The sequence below is a fragment of the Homo sapiens genome, chromosome 22 (genome assembly GCF_000001405.40).
Source record: "Homo sapiens chromosome 22, GRCh38.p14 Primary Assembly".
NCBI classification, from domain to species: domain Eukaryota; kingdom Metazoa; phylum Chordata; class Mammalia; order Primates; family Hominidae; genus Homo; species Homo sapiens.
This window is the reverse complement of record NC_000022.11, coordinates 40,737,908-40,753,493: the sequence shown is the minus strand read 5'-3', so window position 1 is coordinate 40,753,493 and position 15,586 is coordinate 40,737,908.

Genomic DNA, 15,586 nt, shown 5'->3' with positions numbered 1-15,586 from the left:
GCTATAACACCCCTTGGGGCTCCATGGTTGCTGGCATGTTCGTGTTTTCAGCCGCTACCGCGTTCCCCTCATCTAAAAGCTGGTGCCTAACATGAAAATGGTCCACAGCATGCCTGGCTCAGCTGCAGGCTGAGCACGGAATCCTTGCGCATGCACAGGATCTGGGTTGGTAGCCTGAGCTGAGCGCAGCCTGCCAGGGCGAGCTGGTGGAGTGAGCCCAGGAGTAAGCCCAGAGCCAAGCCAAGCCTGGACAGAGTTGCTGCCAGCCGTGGATGTTTCCAGGTGTCGAAGCGGCATCAAAATCATCCTGTGTCACTAACATCATTGCAATGCTACTTCTTTATGCACCAAAATGTTTTGACTTATTGCTTTGTTTTCTTTTAACCATTTTGTACAGAAATCATTCTCAAAAGCTAAACATCCTCGGTCACTTTCTTTTTTTTCTTTTTTCTTTTCTTTTTTTTTTTTTGAGATGGAGTTTCACTCTTGTTGCCCAGGCTGGAGTGCAATGGCGTGATCTCGGCTCACTGCAACCTCCGCCTCCTGGGTTCAAGCAATTCTCCTGCCTCAGCCTCCCGAGTACCTGGGATTAATGGCGCCCACCACTACGCCTGGCTAATTTTTTGTATTTTTAGTAAAGACGGGGTTTCACCACGTTGGCCAGGCTGGTCTCAAACTCCTGACCTCAGGTGATCCACCTACCTCGGCCTCCAAAGTGCTGGGATTACAGGCGTGAGCCACCGTACCCGGCCCATCCTTGGCCACTTTCAACATAACATAGGCCAGGCACAGTGGCTCATGCCTGTAATCCCAGCACTTTGGGAAGCCAACGTTGGGAGATTGTTTGAGCCCAGGAGTTTGAGACCAGCCTGGGAAACCTAATGAGACCTTGTCTCTACAAAAAAAAAAAAAATTTAATTAGCTGGGTGTGGTGGCACACATCTGTAGTTCCAGCTACTTGGGAGGCTGAGACAGGAGGATTACTTGAGCTCAGGAGGTGGAGGCTGCGGTGAGCTATGATCATGCCACTGCACTCCAGCCTGGGCAACAGAGTGAGTCCCTGTCTCCAAAAATAAAAATAAAAAATGAAAAATCAAATAAACATAATACATATCATTCAGTTTTTGCTTTAGCACTGGGACATCATTGTGATGTGTCACTCTGGTGGCACATAATGTGGGGATACTGTAACTGCCCAGTGGGTTCATCTTGCCCTCTGGCTAGGCAGAGCCAATTTATCAAGACAGAAATTGCAATGGAGAAAGAGTAATTCACGCAGAGCTGGCTGTGCAGGAGACCAGAGTTTTATTATTACTTAAATCAGCCTTCCTGAGCCTTCGAGGATCGGAGTTTTTAAAGATAATTTGTGGGGCACGGGCTTGGGAAGTGGGGAGTGCTGATTGATCAGGTTGGAGATGGAATCATAGGGAGTCAAAGTGAGGTTTTCTTGCTGTTTTCTGTTCCTGGGTGGGATAGCAGAACTGGTTGAGCCTTATTACAGGTCTGGGTGGTGTCAGCTGATCCATGGAGTACAGGGTCTGCAAAATATCTCAAGCACTGATCTTAGGTTTTACAATAGTGATGTTATCCCGAGGAGCAGTCTGGGGAGGCTCAGACTCTTAGAGCCAGAGGCTACAAGACCCCTAAACTGTAATTTCTAATCTTGTAGCTAATTTGTTGGTCCTGCAAAGGCAGACTGCTCCCCAGGCAAGAAGGGGGTCTTTTCAGGAATGGGCTGTTAATAATTTTGTTTCAGAGTCAAACCATGAACTGAATTCCTTCCCAAAGCTAGTTCGGCCTATGTCCAGGAATGAACAAGGACAGCTTAAAGGTTAGAAGCAAGATAGAGTCAGTTAGGTCTGATTTCTTTCACTGCCACAATTTCCTCAGTTATAATTTTCCAAAGGCAGTTTCAATACCTTTGGGAACTTATTGGACGGCTTGTCCCTTCAAAGAACCACTCCAAACTGCTGTGTTTTTGCATTTCTGTATCTTTTTTTTTTTTTTTTAACAAATACATATTGTCCTGTTCCTAGCTGTTAATTAACACTTTTTCTGACCTTCACATGCCTGCGTCTGAGAACATTCTCTTCTAATAGGCAATTTCTAATTTGGTGAGACTGCCAAAGAGCCACAAAGTTTTTAGAAGTTTTTATAAAACAAGAGCAAGTACACTGAGGAGGACATTTTCCTATGAATAAAGTGCAATACCTTGTTTGGTGACTTAAACGCCTCTTATTTCCTAGGTTCTCAGCTCTGTTCTGGATGAATCACTGTCAGGTATACAGTATTATTATATCATAAATAAAATTATTTTTTAAGTCTTCTAGTCCTCTCCCCCTCACCCCACTCCCAGTTAACTAGCTTTTTGGCAGTTCTAGAACTGGGCAACAGAAGAGGTTGGCTTTATAGACAGAACAGCTAAAGAAAAACAGAGCAAGACCCTGTCTCAAAAAAACAAAGACAGAAAGCAGAAGCAAAGAGCAAAGAGCATATTGGTGATTTCAAAGCTATGTTTCTTATAAGGCAGGGACAGAGAGACAGAACAATAGAAAAATAACTGACTAGCAAACATCAAGCTACTTTTTTCCTGTAAGGACTAAAGCAGAGGGAACTTCATTATCATGCCAAATGAAGATTTAAACTGGCCTGTTTGGGAAATTATTTGTGATTTTGGGGAGGGTCAGTCAACTTGGTTTGGGTTTAGTGATGTGGAACTTTGGCATAGGTGAGTCCGTTTTGATTTTTGATCTTGTCCATTGGATCCAAGAGCAGAAACTTAGTCCAAAACAATAACATCCTGTAATTTTTATTTAATACATTTAATCACATAGATTCAAATGCATAATACAAAGATGGTCAGAATTACTAAAAGAAATTGACAGATCCGGCTCAGTGCAGTGGCTCACATCTGTAATCCCAGCATTTTGGGAGGCTGAGGCAGGTTGATACCTGAGGTGAGGAGTTCAAGACCAGCCTGGCCAACATGGAGAAACCCTGTCTCTACTAAAAATACAAAAATTAATTGTGCGTGGTGGTGCATGCCTGTAATCCCAGCTACTCAGGAGGCTGAGGTAGGAGAATCTCTTGAACCCGGAAGGCAGAGATTGCTGTGAGCTGAGATCGGGCCACTACATTCCAGCCTGGGAGACAGAGCAGGACTCCATCTCAAAAAAAAAAAAAAAGAAATCGACAAATCCACTAATCATGTGGAACTCTTAACATCTCTTTTTGAAAATTAGATAGGCTAAAGAATATTTGAGTAGTATCTTATAATTATTTACCTCTTTGATATGGTGATTCATAATAAGATATATATATTTGGTGTCTGTCCCTGGTTCCTGGCACACAACTCCTAAAACCCTTGGAGTCAGAGGAGTAATAAGAGTATCTTTTGTATGCTGATGAGGTGACTGATGGGGCTGGCAGCCCCTAGATAGCTTCAAGATGGGGGTTGGTCACCAGAAAGCCCAAGGTAGGATTAGAGGGTTGGGACTTTCAGTCCACACCCCACCCCCAACTTCCAGGGAGGAGAGAGAAAGTGGAGTTGATCATCAGTGGCCAATGATATAATCAGTTGTCATCCTGAAATAACCAAAAGCATCAGCATCCAGTTTTAGAGAGTATATTCAAGCAAAAAGCTGGGAACAGTCATCTGGGTAACATAGACTCCAGAGAAATGGGGTCAGTGCTCCAAAATTAAAAGTTAAGGTCTTGCTTGTATTGGCTGAAAATAAAGAAATTTAGTAGGATTATAACATTTTCTATATCAGACTGGTGTATGAGTTACAATTTAATTAGTTGCAGTTTATTTTCTTTTCCTTACAGCTTTCCTTTTCTTTACAACTTGTTTTCATTTCCTTTCCAATTCAAAGGTGTGTATTTGACACTCTATCTTAGATAATGTGATAGTCGCGGAGTCTTTGTGTGGGAAGGAAAAGAGGGAGGTTAATCTAAAATGAAAATCAACAGTTAAGAGGGAAGGGGTCCCTGATGCTCTTTAGTCATTTACAACATTTTACAAAACAATGTAGGTAAGGAAGAAGGCCACTCTATAATCAGAGAAACATAAGTTACAGCTGGCTGCCTAGGTTATAGCTGCCTGATTATGACACTCAGGTCCCATAATCACATTCCCTTAAGGTTCAAAATATTTTAAACTTCCAACTGACACAGGATTCTTTCAGTGCCACCTCACCAGCCAGAAATCTTCATGGCTGGGGGCACCCCTACCCGGGCCTCGCTTGGCTCCGGGCTCACCACTGGGCTTACTCTCCCCACTCAGTCCAGCAGGCTGTGCTTGGTTCATGCTACAAGCCCAGATTCTGCACCCGTCGTGGCTCTGCACTCAGCCCGCAGCTGGTCCAGGCATGTCATGACTGTCTTCCACCTTGGGCACCGGTGTCTGGACGAGGGGGACACAGCAGCACCTGAAAACTTGGAGATGCCAGCAACCACAGAGCCCCAAGGGGTGTTATGGCTCTCACCTGGGGAGTCCTGAGGTGTGAGCCCCCAAGGACTGTTAGAGCTCTCTCTCCTTCCTGCTGCCTACAGCACAGCAAATGGTGGTGGTGGGGAGCGTCTTACAGCTCATTCATGTTACAGCTTATGTTTGTTCCTGCCTCCCAGTGGCAAACGGGAGGACATGTTATGGCTCATTAGTTCCTGCCATCCACATGCTTCAGTGAACGGGGCGTCAATCCTGCTGCCCCACTCTGGCCTGAGGTTCCTGGGCTGCCCCAGCCCCACCGCCGCCTCTTCCTGTCACGTGGGATGGCCGCCCGACACTGGCAGAGGATGGGTGGGCTACAGTGTTACAGCTCCTTTCACACCCATGGTTCAGTGGGTCCCAGGTTCTTGTCTCATGTGCAAGAAGAATGAGGTTACATGGACACCAGAGAGTCAGCAGAGCAGAGAAGCTTTTATTGAGCAACAGAACAGCTCTCATCATGAGAGGGGACCTGAGGTGGGTAGCCCTCTGTGTAAGAGGGGGCCTGAAGGTGGGTAGTCCCAACATGTGGCTAAGTCCAGGGTTTTTATGGGCTCAGGATGGGGGCGTGCATGCTGACTGGTCCATGGGCAGGCCTGGAAAAAGCACCATTCGACTGGCTAAAAAGGCATTGAGGAAGTTCTTACTCCACTTGTGGACTCTATATGGAATGGGCAGCCCATTTTTCAGGCTGCAGGCTGTCTTTGGCTTGAAGGTTGGGTTTCACCGGGGACCTGTTTCTGTCTGCCTAGGAATTTGTCTGTCTCTTGCTGCTTTCACAATCACTTAGATTTTGAATTACTTATTTTCACACAATCGAGCCTACGTAATGAAGACTATAAAAACCTAAAATGGGCCAGGCATGGTGGCTCACACCTGTAATCCCAGCACTTTGGGAAGCCGAGGCGGGCAGCTCACCTGAGGTTGGGAATTCGAGACCAGCTTGACTAATGTGGAGAAACCCCATCTCTACTAAAAATACAAAATTAGCCTGGCGTGGTGGCACATGCCTGTAATCCCAGCTACTTGGGAGGCTGAGGCAGGATAATCTCTTGAACCCGGGAGGTGGAGGTTGCGGTGAGCCGAGATCGCGCCATTGCACTCCAGCCTGGGCAACAAGAGTGAAACTCCGTACCAAAAAAAAAAAAAAAAAAAAACTAAAATGATTAGATTCAGAGAGCTTCTGGATTGCAGAACATGTGGAGGTGTCTAGAGGGTGGTGTGCCCAGAGATGGCCTGAAAGTTCATCCCCCTCCCTCATGCCTTGCCCTATGTATCTCTTTCATCATGCTGTTCATCTGTATCCTTTGTAATATCCTTTATAAAATAAATGTGTACATGTAAATGATTTCCCTGAGCTCTGTGAGCCACTCTAGAAAGTTAATCAAACTCAAAGAGGGGGTGGAGGGGAGCCCTGATTTATAGCCAGCCAGTGAGAAGATCAGGTTACAACCTGAGGGTTGCAATTGACCTCTGAAGTGACAGGCAGTCTTGTGGAACTGAGCACTCAATGTGTGAGATGTGATGTTATTGAATTGGAGGACACCCAGCTGTTGTCCACGGGAGACTCTGCTAAAGAATTGCTTGGGCCAGGCACAGTAGCCCATGCCTGTATTCCCAGCACTTTAGGAAACTGAGGCAGGTGGATCACCTGAGGTCAGGAGTCCGAGACCAGCCTGGCCAACATGGTGAAACCCCCATCTCTGCTAAAAATACAAAAATTAGCCAGGCATAGTGGTGCACGCCTGTAATTTCAGCTACTCAGGAGGCTGAGGCAGGAGAATTGCTTGAACCCTGGAGGCAGAGGTTGCAGTGAGCTGAGATTGTACTACTGCCCTCCAGCCTGGGTTACAGAGCAAGACTGTCTAAAAAATAATAATAATAATAATTGCTTGGTTATATGTGGGAAGAAATCCCTGTACATTGAGAATGAGAAGTAGCTTAGAGCAGTCTGAGCTATGTGAGGTTTGCAAAATGTATCACACCCAGCGAGTCATGAGTATACTTCAGTCACACATACATACCTGCACCCAGGCAATTGTTTAAAAGCATTTTCTTCTTTCTTTCCTTACCTGTAGTTTCCAGACTAGCTGATAAATGACCTAAAATGTTATCACAAGTTGCAGAATGTGACCCTTACCCATTATCTTCATGTTCCTAGAATTTGTGATACAAAAAAAAAAATGTATAGCCAATCAATAGCTTATGTTATTTTAATGAACCAGTGTAAGAACTACCCCTTCTTTTTTCCTTTAAAAACCCATGTATAGCTGCTGCTAATTGAAGCATATATTCAGGGCAACTTGAATCTATGTCTTCTGGGTTGCAGTCTTCAAATTTGGCCCAAACAAACCCTACTTAAAACAAACAAACACCCGTCTCCCTCTCCCGTCTCCCTCTCCCTCTCCCGTCTCCCTCTCCCGTCTCCCTCTCCCTCTCCCGTCTCCCTCTCCCTCTCCCGTCTCCCTCTCCCTCTCCCGTCTCCCTCTCCCTCTCCCGTCTCCCTCTCCCTCTCCCGTCTCCCTCTCCCTCTCCCGTCTCCCTCTCCCTCTCCCTCTCCCGTCTCCCTCTCCCTCTCCCGTCTCCCTCTCCCTCTCCCGTCTCCCTCTCCCTCTCCCGTCTCCCTCTCCCTCTCATGCCGAGCCAAAGCTGGACGGTACTGCTGCCATCTCGGCTCACTGCAACCTCCCTGCCTGATTCTCCTGCCTCAGCCTGCCGAGTGCCTGCGATTGCAGGCGCGCGCCGCCACGCCTGACTGGTTTTCGTTTTTTTTTGGTGGAGATGGGGTTTCGCTGTGTTGGCCGGGCTGGTCTCCAGCTCCTAACCGCGAGTGATCCGCCAGCCTCGGCCTCCCGAGGTGCCGGGATTGCAGATGGAGTCTCGTTCACTCAGTGCTCAATGGTGCCCAGGCTGGAGTGCAGTGGCGTGATCTCGGCTCGCTACAACCACCTCCCAGCCGCCTGCCTTGGCCTCCCAAAGAGCCGAGATTGCAGCCTCTGCCCGGCCGCCACCCCGTCTGGGAAGTGAGGAGCGTCTCTGCTTGGCCACCCATCGTCTGGGATATGAGGAGCCCCTCTGCCTGGCTGCCCAGTGTGGAAAGTGAGGAGCGTCTCTGCCCGGCCGCCATCCCATCTAGGAAGCGAGAAGCGCCTCTTCCCCGCCGCCATCCCATCTAGGAAGTGAGGAGCGTCTCTGCCCGGCCGCCCATCGTCTGAGATGTGGGGAGCACCTCTGCCCCACCGCCCTGTCTGGGATGTGAGGAGCGCCTCTGCTGGGCCGCAACCCTGTCTGGGAGGTGAGGAGTGTCTCTGCCCGGCCGCTCCGTCTGAGAAGTGAGGAAACCCTCTGCCTGGCAACCGCCCCGTCTGAGAAGTGAGGAGCCCCTCCGTCTGGCAACCACCCCGTCTGGGAAGTGAGGAGCGTCTCCGCCCGGCAGCCACCCCGTCCGGGAGGGAGGTGGGGGGGGTCAGCCCCCCGCCCGGCCAGCCGCCCCGTCCGGGAGGTGAGGGGCTCCTCTGCCCGGCCGCCCCTACTGGGAAGTGAGGAGCCCCTCTGCCCGGCCAGTCGCCCCGTCCAGGAGGGAGGTGGGGGGGTCAACCCCCCGCCCGGCCAGCCGCCCAGTCCGGGAGGGAGGTGGGGGGTCAGCCCCCCGCCTGGCCAGCCGCCCCGTCCGGGAGGTGAGGGGCGCCTCTGCCCGGCCGCCCCTACTGGGAAGTGAGGAGCCCCTCTGCCCGGCCAGCCGCCCCGCCCAGGAGGGAGGTGGGGGGGTCAGCCCCCCGCCTGGCCAGCCGCCCCATCCGGGAGGGAGGTGGGGGGGTCAGCCCCCCGCCCGGCCAGCCGCCCCGTCCGGGAGGGGGGAGGGGGGGTCAGCCCCCTGCCCGGCCAGCCGCCCCGTCCGGGAGGGAGGTGGGGGGGGTCAGCCCCCCGCCCGGCCAGCCGCCCCGTCCGGGAGGGAGGTGGGGGGATCAGCCCCCTGCCTGGCCAGCCGCCCCGTCCGGGAGGTGAGGGGCGCCTCTGCCCGGCCGCCCCTACTGGGAAGTGAGGACCCCTCTGCCCGGCCAGCCGCCCCGTCCGGGAGGGAGGTGGGGGGAACAGTCCCCCGCCCGGCCAGCCGCCCTATCCAGGAGGTGAGGGGCGCCTCTGCCCGGCCGCCCCTACTGGGAAGTGAGGAGCCCCTCTGCCTGGCCAGCCGCCCCGTCCGGGAGGGCGGTGGGGGGGTCAGCCCCCCTCCCGGCCAGCCGCCCCATCTGGGAGGTGAGGGGCACTTCTGCCGGGCCGCCCCTACTGGGAAGTGAGGAGCCCCTCTGCCCGGCCACGACCCCGTCTGGGAGGTGTGCCCAGCGGCTCATTGGGGATGGGCCATGATGACAATGGCGGTTTTGTGGAATAGAAAGGCGGGAAGGGTGGGGAAAAAATTGAGAAATCGGATGGTTGCGGGGTCTGTGTGGATAGAAGTAGACATGGGAGACTTTTCATTTTGTTCTGTACTAAGAAAAATTCTTCTGCCTTGGGATCCTGTTGATCTGTGACCTTATCCCCAACCCTGTGCTCTCTGAAACATGTGCTGTGTCCACTCAGGGTTAAATGGATTAAGGGCGGTGCAAGATGTGCTTTGTTAAACAGATGCTTGAAGGCAGCATGCTCGTTAAGAGTCATCACCACTCCCTAATCTTAAGTACCCAGGGACACAAACACTGCGGAAGGCCGCAGGGTCCTCTGCCTAGGAAAACCAGAGACCTTTGTTCACTTGTTTATCTGCTGACCTTCCCTCCACTATTGTCCTATGACCCTGCCAAATCCCCCTCTGCGAGAAACACCCAAGAATGATCAATAAAAATAAAAAATAAAAAATAAAAAATAAAAATAAAAAAAAAAAAAAAACAAACAAACAAACAAAAAAAACGGGGCTGGGTGCAGTGGCTCAGGCCTATAATCCTAGCACTTTGGGAGGCCGAGGTGGGTGGATCGCCTGAGGTCAGGAGTTCGAGACCAGCCTGTCCAACATAGCCAAACCCTGTCTCTACTAAAACTACAACATTAGCTGGGCGTGGTGGTGGTGGGTGCCTGTAATCTCCAGCTCAGGCAGGAGAATCGCTTGAACCCTGGGGGCGGAGGTTGTGGTGAGCGGAGATCATGGCCATTGCACTTCAGCCTGGGCGTAAGAGCAAAACTCTGTCTCAGGAAGAAAACAACAACCACAACAAAAAATGCTACTTATATTAATTTTGCCTCTGTTTGTTTGTTTGTTTCTCTCTCTCTCTCTTTCTTCTTATTATTTTTGGAGACAGAGCCTCACTCTGTCGCCCAGGCTGGAGTGCAGTGGTGCAATCTTGGCTCACTGCAACCTCTGTCTCCCATGTTCAAGCAATTTTCATGCCTCAGCCTCCCCAGTATCTGGGATTACAGGGTCACACCACTGTGCCCGGCTAATTTTTGTATTTTTTGTAGAGACAGGGTTTTCACCATCAGGCCGGTCTTGAACTCCTGACCTCAACTGATCACCCGCCTCAGCCTCCTAAAGTGCTAAGATAGCCACGGTGCCTGGTTAGAATATATTTTTTAAATGTGCCTTAAAATTTCTCAATACAAAAAGGTTCAATGAACATTATCTAGGAAATAAAGAATTAAAAAAAATAAGATTACTAGGTAGAAAATAAACATTTAAATTCATAGAAAGGGATTGGAAGATTATATACCAAACTTTTTTTTTCTTTTGAGACAAGGGCTCACTCTGTCGCCCAGGCTGGATTGCAGTGGCACAATCACAGCTATATATGTGTATATAATTTTCTAAGTAAAGAAAGTCCTGAAATTTTAGGTTAAAAGGTGTATTAGGGCCGGGCGCGGTGGCTCATGCCTGTAATTGCAGCATTTTGGGAGGCTGAGGCGGGCAGGTCACTTGAGGTCAGGGGTTCGAGATCAGCCTGGCCAACATGATGAAACCCCATTTGTACTAAAAATACAAAAATTAGCCAGGCATAGTGGCAGGTGCCTGTAATCCCAGCTACTCGGGACGCTGAGGCAGGAGAATCATTTGAACCTGGGAGATGGAGGTTGCAGTGAGCTGTGATGGCACCACTGTGCTCTAGCCCGGGCAACAGAGCAAGACTGTCTCAAAAAAAAAAAAAAAAAAAAAAAAAAGGTATATTAGTCAGGGTTCTCCAGAGAAACAGAACCAACAGGATATTATAAGAGAGATTTATTATAGGAATTGATCGTTTCTCGGCCTTGTGGCTAAGATCAAGTGTAGATTTATTATGGGAATTGGCTCATGCAGTTATGGAGGCCAAGAAGTCCCAGGATCTGCCATCTGCAAGCTGAAAAACCAGGAAAGCTGGTGGTATAATTCAGTCTGAATCTGAAGACTGAGGACCAGAGGCACAATGATGTAAGTCCCAGTCTAAGCCCAAAAGCAAGAGCTAGGAGCACTGACCTCCAAGGGCAAGAGAAAATGGATGTCAGCCCAGAAAGAGCAGATTCGCCCCTCTTCCACCTTTTGTCCACTCAACAGTGGATGATACCCACTGACAGGGAGGATCTTTTTCTAATTTTTTTTTTTTTTTCTGAGACAGAGTCTCACTCTCTCGCCCAGGCTGGAGTGCAGTGGTGCAATCTCCGCTCACTGCAAGCTCTGCCTCCCGGGTTCACGCCGTTCTTCTGCCTCAGCCCCCTGAGTAGCTGGGACTACAGGCACCCGCCACCATGCCCAGCTAATTTTTTGTATTTTTAGTAGAGATGGGGTTTCACCGTGTTAGCCAGGATGGTCTCGATCTCCTGACCTCGCGATCCACCTGGGAGGATCTTTTTCACTCAATCTACCAACTCACAATGCTAATTTGTTCTGGAAACATCATCACAGGACTACCCAGGAACACTGTTTTGCCAGCTATCTGGACATCCCTTAGCTCAGTCAAACTGACACATAAAATTAACCATCACACGACCATCCTTTTTGAACTTGTCATCCATACACATCTCCTTAAACCATACTTAATCTCCACATGAAGACACAAGGTTTTTTTGGGTTTTTTGGAAACCAGATCTTGCTCTGTTGCCCAGGCTGGAGTGCTGCAGCCTCAATCTCCTGGGCTCAGGCGATCTTCCTGCCTCAGCCTCCTGAGTAGCTGGGACTACAGGTGCATACCACCACACCCAGGCTGGAGTGCAGTGGCACGATCTCGGCTCACTGCAACCTCCACCTCCTGAGTTCAAGTGATTCTCATGCCTCAGCCTCCTGAGCAGCTGGGACTACAGGCACACACCACCATTCCTAGCTAATTTTTGTATTTTTTAGTAGAGATGGGGTTTCACCATGTTGGCCAGGCTGGTCTCGAACTCCTGACCTCAAGTGATCCACTTGCCTTAGCCTTGTAAAGTGCTAGGATTACAGGCGTGAGCCCCGTGCCCGGCCAACATTTTTTTTAAGAGACTCTTTTTTACTCACTCTACCGACTCACAGCACTAATTTCTTCTGGAAACACCATCACAGGCCTACCCAGGAACACTGTTTTGCCGGCTATCTGGACATCTCCTTATGTTGCCCAGGCTGGTCTTGAACACCTGGCCTCAAGTGACCCTCCCACCTCAGCCTCCCAAAGCGTTGGGATTACAGGCATGAGCCACTGCACCCTGCCAAGACACAAGGTTTTCATTCCACTGAACGTGTTACAACCATCTGGTGTACAACTGGATTTCTGTCTTAGTCCCTTGGGGCTGCTATAATAAAATATCATAAACTGTTTATCTTATTTACAAGAGAAATTTATTTCTCCCACTTCTGGAAGCTGGGAAATCCAAGATCAAGGTGCCGACAGATTCAGTGTCTGGTGAGGGCCCACTTTCTGGTTCATAGACAGCATCTTTTTGCTGTAATCTCACATGCTGGAAGGAGCAAGGGACCTCTCTTGGGTCTCTTTTATTAAAGGACACTAATCCCATTCATGAGGGTACTGCCTTGGGGAATGCACCACTCTTTCAACTTCAATCAAGTATCTCCTGAGTTTGAGTGCTTGTTTTCGAAAGCGTGGTAGAAGTTTATTTTTCTCCTTGGTCCTCTAGTAGCCAGGTTACAGCTAGGTCATCTTGACTGTACCATCTGCAGAGAGGAAGACTCACCTTCGTTAGGATAGAAGCACCAGTGTCTAACTAGACAAGGACTATGGACTTAGAATGACATCGAATTTCCAGACCAAAACATTTACCAGAGCATTATGGTGTTCAAGGCATTGTGGGGACCCTGAGGGGGTGTATGGAGGACTATGAAGCAATCCCAGCCCCCACAGGAAGCTTGCAATTATTTTGGATGATAGCCATCCATACAAGATTGTGTCTGGGAGTGGTGGCTTACGCCTGTAATCCCAGCACTTTGGAAGGCCAAGGTGGGCAGATCACCTGAAGTCAGGAGTTCGAGACCAGCCTGGCCAACATGGTGAAACCCTGTTTCTACTAAAAACAGAAAAAAATTAGCTGGGCATGGTGGTGGGTGCCTGTAACCTCAGCTACTTGGGAGGGTGAGGCACGAGAATCGCTTGAACCCAGGAGGCAGAGGTTGCAGTGAGCCAAGACCGTGCCATTGCACTCCAGGCTGGGCAATAAGAAAGAAACTCAGTCTGGAAAAAAAAAAAAAGACGTTTGCTTTGTCCCTAAAAATTAGTGTCTATGAATTTTCTTACATTGTTATTTCTTCATGTGTAAATATCCTATCAGTGCAGCTAAATCGTAAGCTCCATGAGAACGCAGACGGTAGCCTGTGTTTCGGTGCGTATTCCTACATGGAAGCTCTGAGTTACGGTTAAAGATGAGACTGATTTATACAGATGATAATGCTCTCGAGTTTAACATTGTCTCTGCAATGATCTATGAGCATATTTGGAAAAGAAATCGCATCAGGGGCCAATGGTTTAAATAGGAGGATTTCTGGGCACTGTCAGGAGGTGTTATAGACAGACCTGGGTCAGTTGCAGAGCGGAGAGGATGTCCTGTGTTCTTCCTTTTCCCTTTCTGGCTCCAAGCAAATGGGCAGAACCAAATGAGGCAGGAAGGCGAAAGGAAAACTTGGATTCCACAGTGAGAGCTGGAGATGTGCTCTGTCAGTGACTAACATGAAACCACCCTCTCTCAGCAGGTTTAGGTCTGACCACGAAAGAAGCCTGGGCTCCCCAGGGTCACATGTGATGGCTGTTAACAGGACAACTGGCTATGCCACTGTGATAATTGTATCATCCACTGAATGGTTAAACTCCTTTGAATACTCTCAGAATTAAAGAGGATATGTGGTGGTGGAAAGTGACAATTGGGGCTGTGTGGAGTCCTCGTGTGTCCCTTTCTTATGCTTCCTTCCAAAGCTGCTACCCATCTGATGCCAAATTCTAGAACCGGCCCTTGTTACAAAAGCATGAACTTCAAACAATTTTCTAGTCTATACTCCTTGCTCCCAGGCAAGTTTTGCCTAAATTACTCCCAATCGTGACATGATTTAAAATTTTTGCCCCCTTTTTTTTTTTTTTTGAAGACAGGGTGTCTACTCTGTCACCCAGGCTGGAGTGCAGTGGCACAATCTCAGCTCACTACAACCTCCACCTCCTGGGCTCAACCAATGCTCCTACCTCAGCCTCCCAAGTATCGGGGACTACAGGCACACACCACCACACCCAGCTAATTTTTGTATTTTTTGTAGAGATGGGGTTTCACCATGTTGTCCAGGCTGGTCTCGAATTCCTGGACTCAAGCGATCTGACTGCCTCGGCCTCCCAAAGTGCTGGGATTACAGGCGTGAGCCACCGCGCCGGGCCTGTATGCCCTCATTTATACAAGTTTCCTCCCTGAAGAAAACTTGGATCAGTTAGATAAATGGATGAAGAAAATACCACCCACAGTTCTCCCACCTCCAAACAACCATTGTTAATATTTAATGTATTCCTCATTTATTTGTCTGTGCACAGTGTATGTCTATAAAACCACGATTGTGATGTATATCATTTAAATCAGTGTAATAAGCACAGTTGCGTCTGTTTGTTATTCTACATCAGAACATATCCAGCTCCCCATGTTATGAAGTGGTTTTGAAAGCATAATTATTTTCTTTCCAACTTTTATTTATTTATTCATTTATTTGAGACAAAGTCCTGCTCTGTTGCCCAGGCTGCAGTGCAGTGGTGCGATCTCAGCTCACTGCAACCTCCGCTTCCCAGGCTTAAGCATTCTCATGCTTTAGTCTCCTGAGTAACTGAGACTACAGGCATGTGCCACTGCACCTGGCTAACTGTTGTATTTCTTTCTTTTTTTTTTTTTTTTTTTTTTTTGCCATTTTGGCCAGTCTGGTTTTTGCCATTTTGGCCAAGCTGGTCTCGAAATCCTGGCCTCAGGTGATCTTCCCATCTCGGCCTCCCAAAGTGCTGGGATTACTGGTGTGAGCCACTTTAACTGGCCTCATGTGCAGGTTTGTTACATGGGTAAATTGTGTGTCATGGGGGTTTGGTATACAGATAATTTTGTCACCCAGGTAGTCAACATGATACCCGGTAGGTAGTTTTTCAATTCTTACTCTCCTCCCACCCTCCACCCACAATTAGGTCTGTTGTTCCTTTCTTTGTGTCAGCGTGTGCTTAATGTTTAGCTCCCACTTATAAGTGAGAACATGTGGTGTTTGGTTTTCTGTTCCTGAGTTAATTCACTTAGGATAATAGCCTCCAGCTCCACCCATATTGCTGCAAAGGACATTATTTCATTCTTTTTATGGCTGTGTAGTATTCCATAGTGTATATGTACCATGTTTTCTTTCTTTCTTTTTCTTTTTTTTTTTTTTTTTTTGGGAGACGGAATCTTGCTCTGTCACCCAGGCTGGAGTGCAGTGGCGCAATCTTGGCTCACTGCAATCTCGGCTCACTGCAATCTCTGCCTCCTGGGTTCAAGTGATTCTCCCGTCTCAGCCTCCCGAGTAGCTGAGATTACAGGGGCGCACCACCACTCCCGGTTAATTTTTGTGTTTTTGTAGAGGTGAGGTTTCACCATATCAGCCAGGCTGGTCTCGAACTCCTGACCTCAAGTGATCCACCCCACCTCGGCCTCCCAAAGTGCTGGAACTACAGGAGTGAGCCA